General features: G+C 37.6%; 2 protein-coding genes across 19 annotated transcripts in view; one reads left to right on the plus strand and one right to left on the minus strand.

The window, feature by feature from the left end:
* Positions 1 to 16054, minus strand: part of SP110 (SP110 nuclear body protein) — a 60451-nt gene that overhangs the window by 20963 nt on the left and 23434 nt on the right. For all 18 annotated transcript variants that reach the window (XM_024452850.2, XM_011511090.4, NM_001378446.1 and 15 more), the window contains one exon: positions 14737 to 14817. In XM_024452850.2, the coding sequence (XP_024308618.1) occupies positions 14737 to 14817 (81 nt within the window). The remainder of the gene's footprint in view (positions 1 to 14736; positions 14818 to 16054) is intronic.
* SP140 (SP140 nuclear body protein) overlaps positions 3 to 16054 on the plus strand; it is a 130421-nt gene continuing 114369 nt past the window's right edge. The window contains exon 1 of the mRNA XM_047443073.1: positions 3 to 12935. The gene's annotated coding sequence lies outside the window, so the exon portion shown is untranslated. The remainder of the gene's footprint in view (positions 12936 to 16054) is intronic.

The following is a 16054-nucleotide window of genomic DNA, read 5'->3' on the forward strand; positions in this document are numbered from 1 at the left end:
CCAAATAGACTTGTGAATAGTTTAGTGAGCTCCCTTCTCATGTTCCCAGCCCCTACCCTTTCAGGAGTTATCTTGCCATTTCTCTATAATTCTCTCTTTTCTTGTGTGTATCTTTCTTCCCCCCAGACTCATAATACTTCCTTCTATTTCTCTTTTTCAAGTCCTCATTTTGTTTAGTAATTACAGGTGTATCAATTAGAATGCAAGCTCCACTAGTGTAGGGATTTGTGTCTGTCTTGCTCACTGCTGAGTTCCCAGGACCTAGGACAGATACCTGGCCCACACCTTACACTCCACTGCTGAATGAATGTTTAATAGGCACTAAAGTTTTGAAAATATTAAATGTATTTTTCTTTTTAATTTGTTTTTATTTCAATAGCTTTTGGGGTACAAGTGGTTTTTGGTTACATGGATGAATTATATAATGGCAAAATCTGAGACTTTAGTGCACTCTTCGTCTGAGTAGTGTACATTGTACCCAATACATAGGTTTTTACTCCCCCTCCTCCGTCCCTCTCCTTTCTGAGTCTCCATAATCCGTTATATCACTCTGTATGCCTTTGAGTACTAATATCTTAGCTCCCACCTATAAGTGAGAACATACAGTATTTGGTTTTCCATTCCATCACCTCACTTAGAATAATGGCCTCCAGCTCCATTTAAGTTGCTGCAAAAGACATTATTTCATTCTTTTTTTATGGCTGAGTAATACACCATGGTGTATATATACTACATTTTCTTTACACATTCATTGGTCAATGGGCACTGAGGTTGGTTCCCTATCTTTACAATTGTGAATTATGCAGCAATAAACATGTGTGTAGGTGTCTTCTTGATATAATGACTTATTTTCCTTTGGGTTGATACCTAGTAGTGGGGTTGCTGGATGGAATGGTAGATCTACTTTTAGTTATTTAAGAAATCTCCATACTGTTTTCCATAGAGGTTGTACTAATTTGCACTCCCACCAGCAGTGTATAAACATTCCCTTTTCACCACGTCCATGTTAACATCTATTTTTTTTTGACTTCTTAATAATGGCCATTCTTGCAGGAGTAAGGTGGTATCTCATTGTGGTTTTAATCTTCATTTCCCTGATGATTAGTGATGTTGAGCATTTTTTCAGATGTTTCTTGGCCATTTGAATATCTTCTTTTGAAATATGTCTATTAATGTCATTTGCCCACTTTTTGTGGGATTTTTTTCTATAATGTTTGAGTTTCTTGTAGACGCTGGATATTAATTCTTCATTGGATGCATAATTTGCAAATATTTTCTCCCATTCTGTGGGTTGTCTGTTTACTCTGATGTTTATTTCCTTTGCTACGAAGAAGCGTTTCAGTTTAATTAAGTCCCATTTATTTATTTTTGTTTTTGTTGCATTTGCTTTTGGGGTCTCAGTCATGAATTCTTTGCCTAGGCCAATGTCCAGAAGAGTTTTTCCTAGGTTTTCTTATAGAATTTTTCTGGTTTCAGGTCTTAGGTTTAAATTTTTGATCCATCTTGAGTTAATTTTTGTATAAGGTGGGAAATAGGGATCCAGTTTTATTCTTTTACATGTGGCTAACCAGTTTTCCCAGCACCATTTATTAAATATGGTGTCATTTCCCCAATTTATGTTTTTGTATGCTTTGTCAAAGATCAGTTGGTTTTAAGTATTTGGCTTTATTTCTGAGTTCTCTATTCTGTTCCATTGGTCGATGTATCTACTTTTATAACAGTATCATGCTGTTTTGGTAACTATAGCCTTGTAGTATAATTTTAAGTCTGGTAATGTGATGCCTCCAGATTTGTTCTTTTTGCTTAGGATTGCTTTGGCTTTGCAGGCTCTTTTTTGGTTCCATATGAATTTTAAGATTTTTTTTCCAGTTCTGTGAAAAATGATGTTGATATTTGATAAGAATTGCATTCAATCTGTAGATTGCCTTGGGCAGTGTGATCATTTTCATATTGATTCTTCCAATCCATGAACATGGGATGTGTTTCTATATGTTTGTGTCATCTATGATTTCTTTCAGCAGTGTTTTGTAGTTCTCCCTGTAGAAATCTTTCATCTCCTTGGATAAGTATATTCCTAGGTATTTTATTTTATTTTGTTGAAGTTGTTTTAAAAGGGATTGAGTTCTTGCTTTGATTCTCAGCTTGGTCACTGTAGGTGTATAGCAGTGCTAATTTGTGTACATTTGATTTTGTAACCTGAGACTTTACTGGATTCATTTATCAAATCTAGGAGTCTTCTGAAGGAGTCTTTAGGGTTTTCTAGGTATATGATCATATAATCAGGGAACAGTGATACTTTGATTTCTTTTCCAATTTGGATGTCATTTATTTCTTTCTCTTTTCTGATTGTTCTGGCTAGGACTTCTAGTACTATGTTGAATAGAAGTGGTGAAAGTGGGCATCCTTGTCTTATTCCAGTTCTCCAGGGGAATGCATTAGATTTTTTCCCATTTAGTATCACATTGGCTGTGGGTTTGTCATATATGACTTTTATAACTTTGAGGTAAGCCCCTTCTATGCCTAGTTTGTTGAGGATCTTTATCTAAAGGGATGCTGGATTTTATCAAATGTTTTTTCTGCATCTATTGAAATGATCTATGGTTTTTAATTCTGTTTTTGTGATGTACCACATTATTGACTTGCATGTGTTAAACCATCCCTAAATCCCTGGGATTAAATCCACTTGATCATGGTGTATTATATTTTTGATGGGCTGCTGGATTCAATCTCACTGTTTGTTATTGGTCTGTTCATGGTTTCTATTTATTCCCAATTTAATCTAGGAGGGGTGTATGTCTCCAGGAATTTATTTATTTCCTCTAGATTTTTCTAGTTTTTGTGCATAGAGGTGTTCATAGTAGTCCTGAATGATCTTTTGTATTTCTGTGGTGTCAGTTGTAATGTCTCCAGTTTCATTTCTAGTTGAGTTTATTTGAAACTTCTCTCTTTTTTTTTGGTTACTCTGGCTAATGTTCTATCAATTTTGTTTATCTTTTCAAAGAACCAGCTTTTTGTTTAATTGATCTTTTTTATTTTTTGTTTCAATTTTATTTCATTCTTCTCTCATCTTTCTTTTTTTCTGCTAGCTTTGGGTTTCTCTAGTTCCTTGAGGCATGACATTAGGTTGTCAATTTGTGATCTTTCAGACTTTTTGATGTAGGCATTTAGCGCTATGAACTTTCCTCTTAAAAGCACTGCTTTTGCTGTATCCTAGAAGTTTTGATAATTTATGTCACTGTTACCATTCATTTCAAATAATTTTCTAATTTCCGTCTTAATTTCAGTGTTAACCCATAAATCATTCAGGAGCAGATTATTTAATTTCCATTTATTTGTTATGGTTTTGAAAGTTCCTTTTGGAGTTGATTTCTAGTTTTATTCCACTGTGATCTGAGGAGATACTTAATATAATTTCAATTTTTTTCTTCTAAAAAACCCCCCAAAATGGGACACACGTGCAGAACATGCAGGTTTCTTACATAGGTATGCATGTGCCATGGTGGCTTGCTGCACCTATTGACCCATCCTCTAAGTTCCCTCCCCTCACCACCCACACCCCAACAGGCCCTGGTGTGTGTTGTTCCCCTCTCTGTGTCCATGTGTTCTCAATGATCAACTCCCACTTATGAGTGAGAACATGCGGTGTTTGGTTTTCTGTTCCTGTGTTACTTTGCTGAGGATGATGGGTTCCAGCTTCATCCATGTACCTGCAAAGGACATGATCTTATTACTTTTTATGGCTGCATAGTGTTCCATGATGTATATGTACCACATATTCTTTATCCAGTCTAAATGCTGGATTCTTTATCCAGCATTTGGGTTGGTTCCACGTCTTTGCTATGGTAAATACTGCTGCGATAAACATACATGTGCATGTGTCTTTACAGTAGAATGATTTATATTCCTTTGGATATATACCCAGTAATGGGATTGCTGTGTCAAATGGTATTTCTGGTTCTACATCCTTGAGGAATCACCACACTGTCTTCCACAATGGTTGAACTAATTTACACTCCCACCAACAGTGTAAAAGTATTCCTATTTCTCCACAGCCTCACCAGCATCTATTGTTTTCTGACTTCTTAATAATTGTCATTCTGACTGGCATGAGATGGTCTCTCATTGCAGTTTTGATTTGCAATTCTCTGATGATCAGTGATGTTGAGCGTTTTTCCATATGTTTGTTGGCTACGTAAATTTTTTTTTTTTTGAGAAGTGTCTGTTCATATCCTTTGCCCATTTTTTGATGGAGTTGTTTGTTTTTTTCTTGTAAATATGTTTAAGTTCCTTGTAAATTCTGGATATTAAACCTTTGTCAGATGGGTGGATTGCAAAATTTTTCTCCCATTCTGTAGGTTGCCTGTTCACTCTATTTCTAGTTTCTTTTGCTGTGCTGTAGCTGTTTAGTTTAATTAATTCCCATTTGTCAATCTTGGCTTTTGTTGTAATAGCTTTTGGCTTTTTTATCATGAAGACTTTGCCCATGCCTATGTCTTGAATGATATTGCTTCAGTTTTCTTCTAGGGTTTTTATGGTTTTGGGTTTTACATTTAAGTCTTTAATCCATCTTCAGTTATTTTTTGTATAAGATGTGAGGAAGGGGTCCAGTTTCAGTTTTCTGCATATGGATAGCCAGTTTTCCTGGCACCATTTATTAAATGGGGAATCCTTTTGCCATTGCTTGTTTTTGTCAGGTTTGTTGAAGAACAGATGGTTGTAGATGTGTCGTGTTATTTCTGAGGTCTCTGTTCTGCTCCATGGTCTATATGTCTGTTTTGGTACCAGTACCGTGCTGTTTTGGTTACTGTAGCCTTGTCGTATTGTTCAAAGTCAGGTAGTGGGATGCATCCCGTTTTATCCTTTTTGCTTAGGATTGTCCTAGCTATATGGGATCTTCTTCGATTCCATATGAAATTTAAAATAGTTTTTTTTTCTAATTCTGTGAAGAATGTAGAGACAATATACCAGAATCTCTGGGACACAGCTAAAGCAGTGTTAAGAGGAAAACTTGTAGCACTAAATGCCCACATCAGGAAGCTAGAAAGATCTCAAATGGACACCCTAACATCACAATTAAAAGAGCTAGAGAGGCAAGAGCAAGCTAATCCAAAAGCTAGCAGAAGACAAGAAATAAGTAAGATCAGAGAAAAATTGAAGGAGATAGAGACACAAAAAACCCTCAAAAAATCAATGAATCCAGGAGCTGGTTTTTTGAAAAAATTAACAAAATAGATCACTAGCCATATTAATAAAGAAGAGAGAGAAGAATCAAATAGACAGAATAAAAATGATAAGGGGGAATATCATCACTGATCCCACAGAAATACAAACTACCATCAGAGAATACTATAAACACCTCTACACAAATGAACTAGAAAATCTAGAAGAAATGGATAAATTCCTGGACACATACACCCTATCAAGACTAAACCAGGAAGAAGTTGAATCCCTGAATAGACCAATAACAAGCTCTGAAATTGAGGCAGTAATTAATAGCCTACCAACAACACAAAACCCAGGACCAGATGGATTCACAGCTGATTCTACCAGAAATACAAAGAGGAGCTGGTACCATTACTTCTGAAACTATTCCAAACAATTGAAAAGGAGGGAACTCCTCCTTAACTCATTTTATGAAGCCAGCATCATCCTGATACCAAAACTGGGAAGAGACACAACAAAAAAAAAGAAAATTTCAGGCCAATATCCCTGATGAACATCAATACGAAAATCCTCAATAAAATAATGGCAAGCCAAATCCAGCAGCACATCAAAAAACTTATTCACCATGATCAAGTCGGTTTCATCTCTGAGATGCAAGGTTGGTTCAACATACACAAATCAATAAGCATAATCCATCACATAAACAGAACCAAGACAAAAACCACATGATTATCTTGATAGATGCAGAAAAGGCCTTTGATAAAATTCTACATCCCTTCATGTTAAAAACTCTCAATAAACTAGGTATTGATGGAACATATCTCAAAATAATAAGAGCTATTTATGACAAACCCACAGCCAATATCATATAAAATGGGCAAAAGCTGGAAGCATTCCCTTTGAAAACCAGTACAAGACAAGGATGCCCTCTCTCACCATTCCTATTCAACATAGTATTAGAAGTTCTGGCCAGCACAATCAGGCAAGAGAAAGAAATAAAGCGTATTCAAATAGGAAGAGAGGAAGTCAAGTTGTTTCTGTTTGCAGATGACATGATTATATACTTAGAAAACCCCATCATCTCAGCCCAAAAACTTCTCGAACTGATAAGCAACTTCAACAAAGTCTCAGGATACAAAATCAATGTGCAAAAATCACAAGTATGCCTTTACACCAACAATAGGCAAGCAGAGAGCCAAATCATGATGAACTACCATTCACAATCACTACAAAGAGAATAAAATACCTAGGAATACAGCTAACAGAGGATGGGAAGGACCTCTTCAAGGAGAACTACAAACCACTCCTCAAGGAAATAAGAGAGGACACAAATGGAAAAACATTCCATCTTCATGGATAAGAAGAATCAATATCTTGGAAATGGCCATACTGCCCAAAGTAATTTATAGATTCAATGTTATTCCCATCAAACTATAATTTCAATTTATAAAAATTTATTGAGACTTGTTTTGTGGCTATCATATGGTCTATCTTGGAGAATGTTCCATGTGCTGATGAGAAGAATGTAATCTTCTGTAAATATCTATTAGGTCCATTTGTTCTAGAGTGTAGTTTACATCTATTGTTTCTTTTTTGACTTTCTGTCTCAATGATCTCTCTGGTGCTGACAGTGGAATACTGAAGTTCCCCACTATTATTGTGTTGTTGTCTTATCTCTTTTCTTAGGTCTAGTAGTAAATGTCTTATGAATCTGGGAGCTCCAGTGTTAGCTACATCTAAATTTAGGACTGTAATATCTTCCTGTTAGATTGATCCTTTTATCATTATATAATGACCTTCTTTGCCTTTTTTTACTGTTGTTGCTTTAAAGTCTGTTTTATCTGATATGAGAAAAGCTACTCCTGTTTACTTTTGGTTTCCATTTGCATGGAATATCTTTTTTCACCCTTATACCTTGAATTTATATGGGTCCTTGTGTGTTAAGTGAGTCTCTTGAAGATAGCAGATATTTGGTTTGTGATTTTGTATCCATTCTGCCAATCTGTATCTTTTAAGTGGAGCATTTAGGCCCATTTATGTTGAACATTAATATCAAGATGTGAGGTACTGTTTCAGTCATCATGTTAATTGTTACCTACATACGTTGTTTTCTTCATTGTGTTATTGTTTTATAGACCTTGTGAGTTTTATGCTTTCAAGAGTTTGTATTCTGGTGCATATCAATCTTTCGTTTCAAGAGTTAGAACTCCTTTTGGCATTTCTTATAAAGCTGGTCTGGTAGTGACAAATTCCCTCAGCATTTGTTTGTCTAAAAATGACTTTATTTCTCCTTCATTCATAAAACTTAGCTTTGCCAGATACAAAATTCTTGGCTGAGAGTTATTCTGTTTAAGGAGACTAAAGATAAGACTCCAATCCCTTCCAGCTTGTAAGGTTTCTGCTGAGGAATCATGTATTTTTCATCCTTGCAAATAGTAAAGATTTCCCTGACTATTACATCAATAGGTTTCAGGGGGAGGGCAGATGCTTGCTAGAATTGAGAAGCCACTGCTCAGTTGGGGCCATTTTGGCAAGCTTAGACAAAATCTTGAAGCACAGTATTTGTTGGGAGCAAAGAGGAATTTATAAATTCCAAAAATTACCTGTACCTATCAAAAGAAAACTTTGGAGGTCTGAATGTCAAGTTTTCCTATAAGTCATTGGTAGTGAACACTCAGCAAATGACAGAGAGTATGTTTCCTCCAGCCTAGGGAGGCAGTGGGGTGGGGAACTAGGAAGAAGAGGCCAGGGAGGGGAAGTGCAAGCAGGCAGATATGACTTTCCTTCTAGGCCAAACCCCAAGATTGAGGCATGCTGGGAACAAGCAGAAAAATTAGAGGGCTTTCCAAAGCAGTGAGCCTCATGTCCTAATTCATGTTTGGGAGCTGGGACAAGATCTCTTCCCAGGCTGGCTCCCATAAAGGTACAGAATCCAAGAGAATCCCCACTGACCGGCATATCTTAGGCCCTTTGTGAATAATTTTGAGTAAAAGAATAAAGAAAAAGGGGCCAGGTGCAGGGGCTCACACCTGTATCCGAGAACTTTGGGAGGCTAGGGCAAGAGGATCACTTGAGGCCAGGATTTCAAGACCAGCCTGGACAACATAGCAAGACCTGGTCTATACAAAAAATTTACAAAATAAATTAAAAAAAGAAAAAGGGAAAAAGAAAGGAACAGAAAGGGAAGAGGGAGAGAATACAGAGGAGAAAAAGAAAAGTGGGATGAAGCAGAGGAACCAGAAAAATGCAGCTTTTTTGTTTCTTATTCTGCAAGTAACACAGTTTGTGCACTGGAGTAGACACATGCATGCAGGCATGCAAGCAAGCATGGGTTGACTGAGGTAGTTCTGAACACTCTATGACTCCAAATCTAATCCAGTTTGGAACTGAAAGTCTGAATCCTGCTTGGGGATTTAGGTTTCTTGTGTCTATTCTTCTGGGCTCTGACCCTAGACAGGAAACAATTCTAATCTCAAAATTGTCTGATGCCTCATGTCCACCTCAACCCCATTCCCTCCCTATGATAAGAGAAAAGAAGACTAGGTATAAACCAAGTTGGTGTTAGGTTTGCTCTTCCTTTGTTGGGGAGTCTACTGATGGGGTGGCCTAGGGGACAAGGTTGGGGCTGGCTGTGCTCCAGGCACATGTGGCTGGAGAGGAGGTCATGCCAGCTGGTCAGGTGAGGGGCCTGATAAACACCAAGAGAGTAACAATTTCACTTTTCTTCCTTATGTCTTGGGCATTTTTTTTTTCTGTTTTCTTTTTGAACTTGGCCATATTCTTTTCTCCTTTTTTCTAAAAAAGAAAAAACCCACATCTTTTATGGCTACAAATATTGATCTACAAACCTGCAATGTCATTACTTTTTTAAGTAATTTTTTTCCTGTTTTCCCTGACTTTGAGAAGGCAAGAAAACCATGTGACCTATGTGAAAAAAGTACTCCATTTTAGCTGGAAATTGAATTAGGGGATTGAATAAAGATGGATCAGGAATATACTAGAGGACTAACATTTAATATATGTCATTTAAAAAGTTTTTTGGGGACAGAGTCTTGTTCTGTTATGCAGGCTGGAGTGCAGTGGCATAATCTCAGCTCACTGCAATCTCCACATCCTGGGTCCAAGTGATTATCGCACCTCAGCCTCCTGAGTAGCTGGCATAACAGGTATGCACCCCCAGGCTAACTTTTGCATTTTTAGTAGAGACGGGGTTTCACCATGTTGGCCAGGCTGGTCTTGAACTCCTGGACTCAAGTGAACCTCCTGCCTCAGCCTCCCAAGGTGCTGGGATTACAGGCATGAGCCGGCATGCCTTATTAATTTTAAAATTAATAAGCAGTTTTTCAAGACTAGACAAAGATTGTTATAAACCATGGATATTAAAAGGTTTCCTAGCCAAAATTCAGGGCCAGAAATTACACAGTTATGAGATAAACAGATTTGAATGTTTAAAAAATTAAAAATATACAGAAGGAGCAGGACTGAAAAAAACTGTTCACAGTTCAAAAAACACCCCGACACTATTAAAGCAAAAACAAAATTTAAATATACATAGCATATAGAAGGTTAATATCCTTATTAGATAAAGCAAAAGATGAATGGTAATCTAGGAAAATAAGCAAAAAATATAAGTTAAAAATGCTCAAGGAGGAAATGAAGATGACAAATTTATTTAGAAATCATCTCTATATTACTACTAATCAAAGAAACTCATTGTTTGGATGTTAAGGATACCTAAACATTTAAAAAGTTTTATTACATCCAGCATTGAGGATGTAGGAAATGAATACTCATATATTGTTAAAGGGAATATAAATCATTATGTTTTCTGGACAGCAAATTGGTAACATGTATAATTAAGATATAGATTTTAACCAAGTAAGCTTGTGTTTAAGAATCAATTCTAAGGAAATTATTGGACAAGTGTGCAAAGATACAAATACACACAAACCTGATTTCTATTTTCATATAAAAATAAGAAATAAACTGTCCACTAGTAGGTGATTATTTAAACAAATTGCGGTGAATCATACGTAACGTGCCATGCAGTTAAAAAAATAGATAACATTGATACAGAGATGATACACAATGAAAAAAGTGATTTATAGAATAGACTATATAGTATGAGCTTATATATAAAAAGAAAAATGTATGCATACTTATACAAAAATAAAGTGGGGGAAGCAGATTAAATAGATGTTTAACTTTATGATTTATAATTTTCTTTTTTTTAAAATTTTATTATTATATTTTAAGTTTTAGGGTACATGTGCACAATGTGCAGGTTTGTTACATATGTATACATGTGCCATGTTGGTATGCTGCACCCATTAACTCGTCATTTAGCATTAGGTATATCTCCTAATGCTATCCCTCCCTCCTCCCCGCACCCCACAACAGTCCCCAGAGTGTGATGTTCCCCTTCCTGTGTCCATGTGCTCTCATTGTTCAATTCCCACCTATGAGTGAGAACATGCAGTGTTTGGTTTTTTGTCCTTGCAATAGTTTGCAGAGAATGATGGTTTCCAGTTTCATCCATGTCCCTACAAAGGACATGAACTCATCATTTTTTATGGCTGCATAGTATTCCATGGTGTATATATGCCACATTTTCTTAATCCAGTCTATCGTTGTTGGACATTTGGGTTGGTTCCAAGTCTTTGCTATTGTGAATAGTGCCACAATAAACATACGTGTGCATGTGTCTTTATAGCAGCATGATTTATAATCCTTTGGGTATATACCCGGTAATGGGATGGCTGGGTCAAATGGTATTTCTAGTCCCAGATCCCTGAGGAATCACCACACCGATTTCCACAATGGTTGAACTAGTGTACAGTCCCACCAACAGTGTAAAAGTGTTCCTATTTCTCCACATCCTCTCCAGCACCTGTTGTTTCCTGACTTTTTAATGATTGCCATTCTAACTGGTGTGAGATGGTATCTCATTGTGGTTTTGATTTGCATTTCTCTGATGGCCAGTGATGATGAGCATTTTTTCATGTGTTTTTTGGCTGCATAAATGTCTTCTTTTGAGAAGTGTCTGTTCATATCCTTCGCCCACTTTTTGATGGGGTTGTTTGTTTTTTTCTTGTAAATTTGTTTGAGTTAATTGTAGATTCTGGATATTAGCCCTTTGTCAGATGAGTAGGTTGCGAAAATTTTCTCCCATTTTGTAGGTTGCCTGTTCACTCTGATGGTAGTTTCTTTTGCTGTGCAGAAGCTCTTTAGTTTAATTAGATCCCATTTGTCAATTTTGTCTTTTGTTGCCATTGCTTTTGGTGTTTTAGACATGAAGTCCTTGCCCATGCCTATATCCTGAATGGTATTGCTTAGGTTTTCTTCTAGGGTTTTTATGGTTTTAGGTCTAACATGTAAGTCTTTAATCCATCTTGAATTAATTTTTGTATAAGGTGTAAGGAAGGGATCCAGTTTCAGCTTTCTACATATGGCTAGCCAGTTTTCCCAGCACCATTTATTAAATAGGGAATCCTTTCCCCATATAATTTTCTTTTTCTTTGTTTTGAGACAGGGTCTTACTACATTGTCAAGCTGGTTTCAAACTCCTGGGCTCAAGCAATTCTCCCATGTTGGCCTCCCAAAGTGCTGGGATTACAGGTGTGAGCTACCATGCCTAGCCTGATTTACAATTTTCTACACTGAAGATTTTATTAGGAATATTGTATCACACAAGACAGGGTAGGCTGTGCTGCAGTAACAAATGAAACCAAATTTTGGTGGTTTAACATTGAAAAGTGTATTTCTCTATCACATGAAGTTCTCTGTAGGACAATAGGACCCTCTGTAGGACTGGAAGTCCTCTGTAGGGCCCTCCAGGGCTGCTGTCCTCTATGTGGTAGGTCATGCTGCTTTGGCCTTCTGGCGCCTCCCTCTTCCACACACTTCCACAGGCGGGAAAAGAATGTGGAGAGCTGCAATGGGCTCTTACATGCTGTGACCCAGAAGTGACACCCATCTCTCTGGCTTATTTGCCAGAGCTAGTATAGCAGAGCTGCCTCCTGCAAGGGGGATGATAATGGAGCTTTCCAAGTGTCTGGGAAGGGGAGAAGAATTGGAACTAGAGGAGGGCAGTCATAATGCCCACCATAAACATGGGCAGGGTGAGCACTGCTAGTTGTTCCTCTTTCTCTGGTCTCCCTTTTTCTTTAGTAATAAAGCCCCTGATTCTGAGCCCCTTATTCTTATAGATTAAAGATTACATTTCCCAGCCTCCTTTGAAGTCAGGTGTGGCCGTGCAACCAGTCCTGGCAATAAAATGATAGAATTTTTTTTTCTTTTTTGAGATGGAGTCTTGCTCTGTTGCCCAGGCTGGAGTGCAGTGGCATGATCTTGGCTCACTGCAACCTCTGCCTCCTGGGTTCAAGCAATTCTCCTGTCTCAGCCTCCTGAGTAGCTGGGATTACAGGTGCACACCACCAGGCTCAGCTAATTTTTTTTGTATTTTTAGCAGAGATGGGGTTTCACCATGTTGGCCAGACTGGTCTTGAACTTCCAACCTGAAGTGATCCACCCACCTCGGCCTCCCAATAGCAAATTATTAATGATAGCAAATTACTATCTGTGACCGGAAGCATTTAGAGTCCTTCAGTGGAGGAGGTGTGCCCTTCTTTGACTTTGCCATTTTCTCTTTAGCTGGAACATAGACATGCTGGCTGGACCTCAATAAAGGGGATGCCACATGCTGAGGATGATGGAGCCACATGCTGAGGATGATGGAGCAACAAGCAAGAATAAGCCCAGGACCCTACAGTGTATGACACCAGCTCTTGACCACCTACCTCTCTTGCTTTAGCTACTATTATTATTATTATTATTATTTTTTTTTTTTTTTAGTGGGGTGAGGTTTGCTGTCACACACAGCAACATAATCCTCTTTTTTTTTTTTTTTTTTTTTGAGACAGAGTCTCACTCTGTCACCTAGGCTAGAGTGTAGTGGTGTGATCTTGGCTCGCTGCAACCTCTGCCTCCTGGGTTCAAGCGATTCTCCTTCCTCAGCCTCCCATGTAGCTGGGATTACAGGCGCCCACCACCACGCCTGGCTAGTTTTTGTATTTTTAGTAGAGACAGGGTTTCATCATGCTGGCCAGGCTGGTCTCGAACTCCTGGCCTCAAGTGATTCACCTACCTCAGCTTCCCAAAGTGCTGGGATTATAGGCATGAGCCACTGTGCTGGGCCAGCAACATAATCCTAATGGTGACAGCACACTGCTTTTAGAAAAGTCCAGGAACTTTTCTATGTTGAAAAAAAGTGAAATCATGATTTTAAAAAGCATAACGCTTTTTCTGGCTTGGATGTCTTTTATGGCCTAGAATGGCATAATAACAGTAAGGTAACATCAATCCACACCACAGAGACCAAATAGTTTCTTCTTCACACTTATGCTCTGCCCTGGGAGATTTTCCCAGAGAGAGTTTATTTCCATTATCCATAGGATCTTGGAAGTAATGAGAAAGTAATTTTTGAATAAGCAGTTTTCTATTTTGGGCAATAGTGAATTGACAAAGGTTTGACAGTATTCTTTCTGCCCCTTCCTTTCTATGGAGAACGATGGCTCCTGAAAAGAGTTCCTGGGGACCAGGTTGTTAACCCGGTGGCAGCCAGCCCTTACCCAGGGGATCCTGAAAAAAATCCATTAATCCTTTCCATATCTTAATTTCCTCATCTGCTAAATTGGAATAGGTCATTCAATCTTCTCCAAGGGTGGTTGTGAAAATAAAATAAAATTATCCATGAGAAAAGTTGAAATACTACTAGATAAGCCAGTGCAATATAGGAGAAACTGTTAAAATGATAATTTAGATTTTAAGGTGGTAAAATTTAATCCATTTTTCCTGACAATAATTAGATATTTGTTGTTTGAAAATCACATTTGTCATGTGAGAGTTCTGTGATTTTTGTGACAATGACCATATCACCAGCAAACAGACGAATATCTAGCTGTTTTTTCCCCTCTAAGGATAGTGTTATCAACTTACTCCAGAAATGTGAATAATGGTAGCGATAGTGAGGGGTGAATTAACATGCACAATTTTACCAGCACATGCCCACAACTCCACCAGTTGTACATGCTCAGTCATAGTGTCACATGTGTGTTTTAATGAGTTTTTCGCTTCTCAATTTTCTCAGAAAGGCCACATGAGAAATATGGAGATTGGAATTCTAGGAAAAAGCTTGATCCATGGGTTGGATCAAGCTGCACTTTCGACAAGCTGTACTTTCAGTATAGTACCATGAATATACTTAGGACACTCATTCTCAGTAATGGTGATATTGCTGCCAGTAGTGGAAAAACTCATTCTTGAGTGCTGAGAAAAATCTTATATAGTGCAGATATACATACATACATATGGACACATTACATAAAATGGACATATATTTGTAGTAGTAAATATCATGGGAAGGGTCTTGATTAAGAAAAAAAAATCCAGAAGGGCTCTCTAGCACAGTAATAATGAAAAAAAAAAGTTAAGAAATATTGCCTCAGTGTAAGACAGCTCTGAATTTAGATTCCTGGTGACTGTACTCTGAGACCAGCAATCTCCAAGTTTTACCTTGTGTGACCCTTCGTGGTGTACTAGGCGTCTTCTGGGACCTCTTTCCTTCATTCATTTCTGAAGTGCCATCAATGATCTCTGGAAAATGAAAGATCTTAGTAAATGCCCCTTGGGAAACACCATGGAGAATCTCCCAGAGACCCAGGAAGGCCCTTGCACACTCTGAAGTTGAGTCTTGGAGGCTCCAGGTCTTACCCTCCTAACAATGCATCTACCAAGAGATTTGGTGCTGCTCATGACACTGTGCCTGTCTGCCACTCAGGGGAGGAGCAGACCGCAGTTGGTTAGCAGTGGTTACTCTACCAATGGAGACATCCACAGTGGGGTGCAGCCATCTGAACCCCTTGGCCAGAGTCTCTCAAAGTAAGGTCTGTGAGCCCCTAGGGGGTCTGTCAAACCGTTTCAGAAAATTTGCAAGGTCAAATTGTTTTCATAATATGATGTTATTTGCCTTTTTCACTATTTCAACCTTTGTACAGATTGAGCAAGAGCAATGGCAGATAAAACTGCTGGTGCCTTAAGACACATCAAAGCAGTGTCCCCAAATCTCAGCAGGAATCACTGCATCCTTTATTGCCACCTACTCACTGTACCAAAAAAAATAAAAATAAAAGCAAGATTCACTTGAGAATGTTTTTGGTGAGCCAGTAAAAATTATTAATTTTATTAAATTTCTACCCTTGAGTACATATCTGACATCTTAATATTCTATGTGAAAAACTGAAGAGCACATATAAAGCACTTCTATTGCATCCTGAAGTACCACAGTGGCCTCAAGAAAACACTTGTGTGATTGAGATACAAGCTCACTGTATAATTCCAAATGTATATTTTCCAAACAGCTGTACTATTATAAAATCTTGCATTAGTAGAAGGTCCATTCAAAATGCAAGGTGGATTAATGTATTTTATTGTAACAGAGTATGAAGTTAATTGATATGGTTTCAAATTTTACATTACAACTAATATTTAAGAAACTATCACTTGTTGAGTGTTGGTGTAGTATTAAAGGTGAATATCCACAGATATCTCAAAAGACTGTTAAATTACCTCACCCTTTTAAACTAGATATCTGTGTAAGGCCAGATTTTCTTTCTATCCTTCAATCAAAGCAACATATCACAACTGAATGCAGAAACAGTTGTAGGAATCCAGCTGTCTTTTTATAAAGCTCACTCACAATCAAAGAGATTTGCACAAACATAAAATGATGTCACTCTTTTCACTAATTTTTTTTGTTTTAGAAAATATATTTACTTTTCATAAAATAATGCTATTTATGTTAACAGGCAATTGGTTTATTATTGTTACTTTT

The sequence above is a fragment of the Homo sapiens genome, chromosome 2 (genome assembly GCF_000001405.40).
Source record: "Homo sapiens chromosome 2, GRCh38.p14 Primary Assembly".
Taxonomy (NCBI): Eukaryota; Metazoa; Chordata; class Mammalia; order Primates; family Hominidae; genus Homo; species Homo sapiens.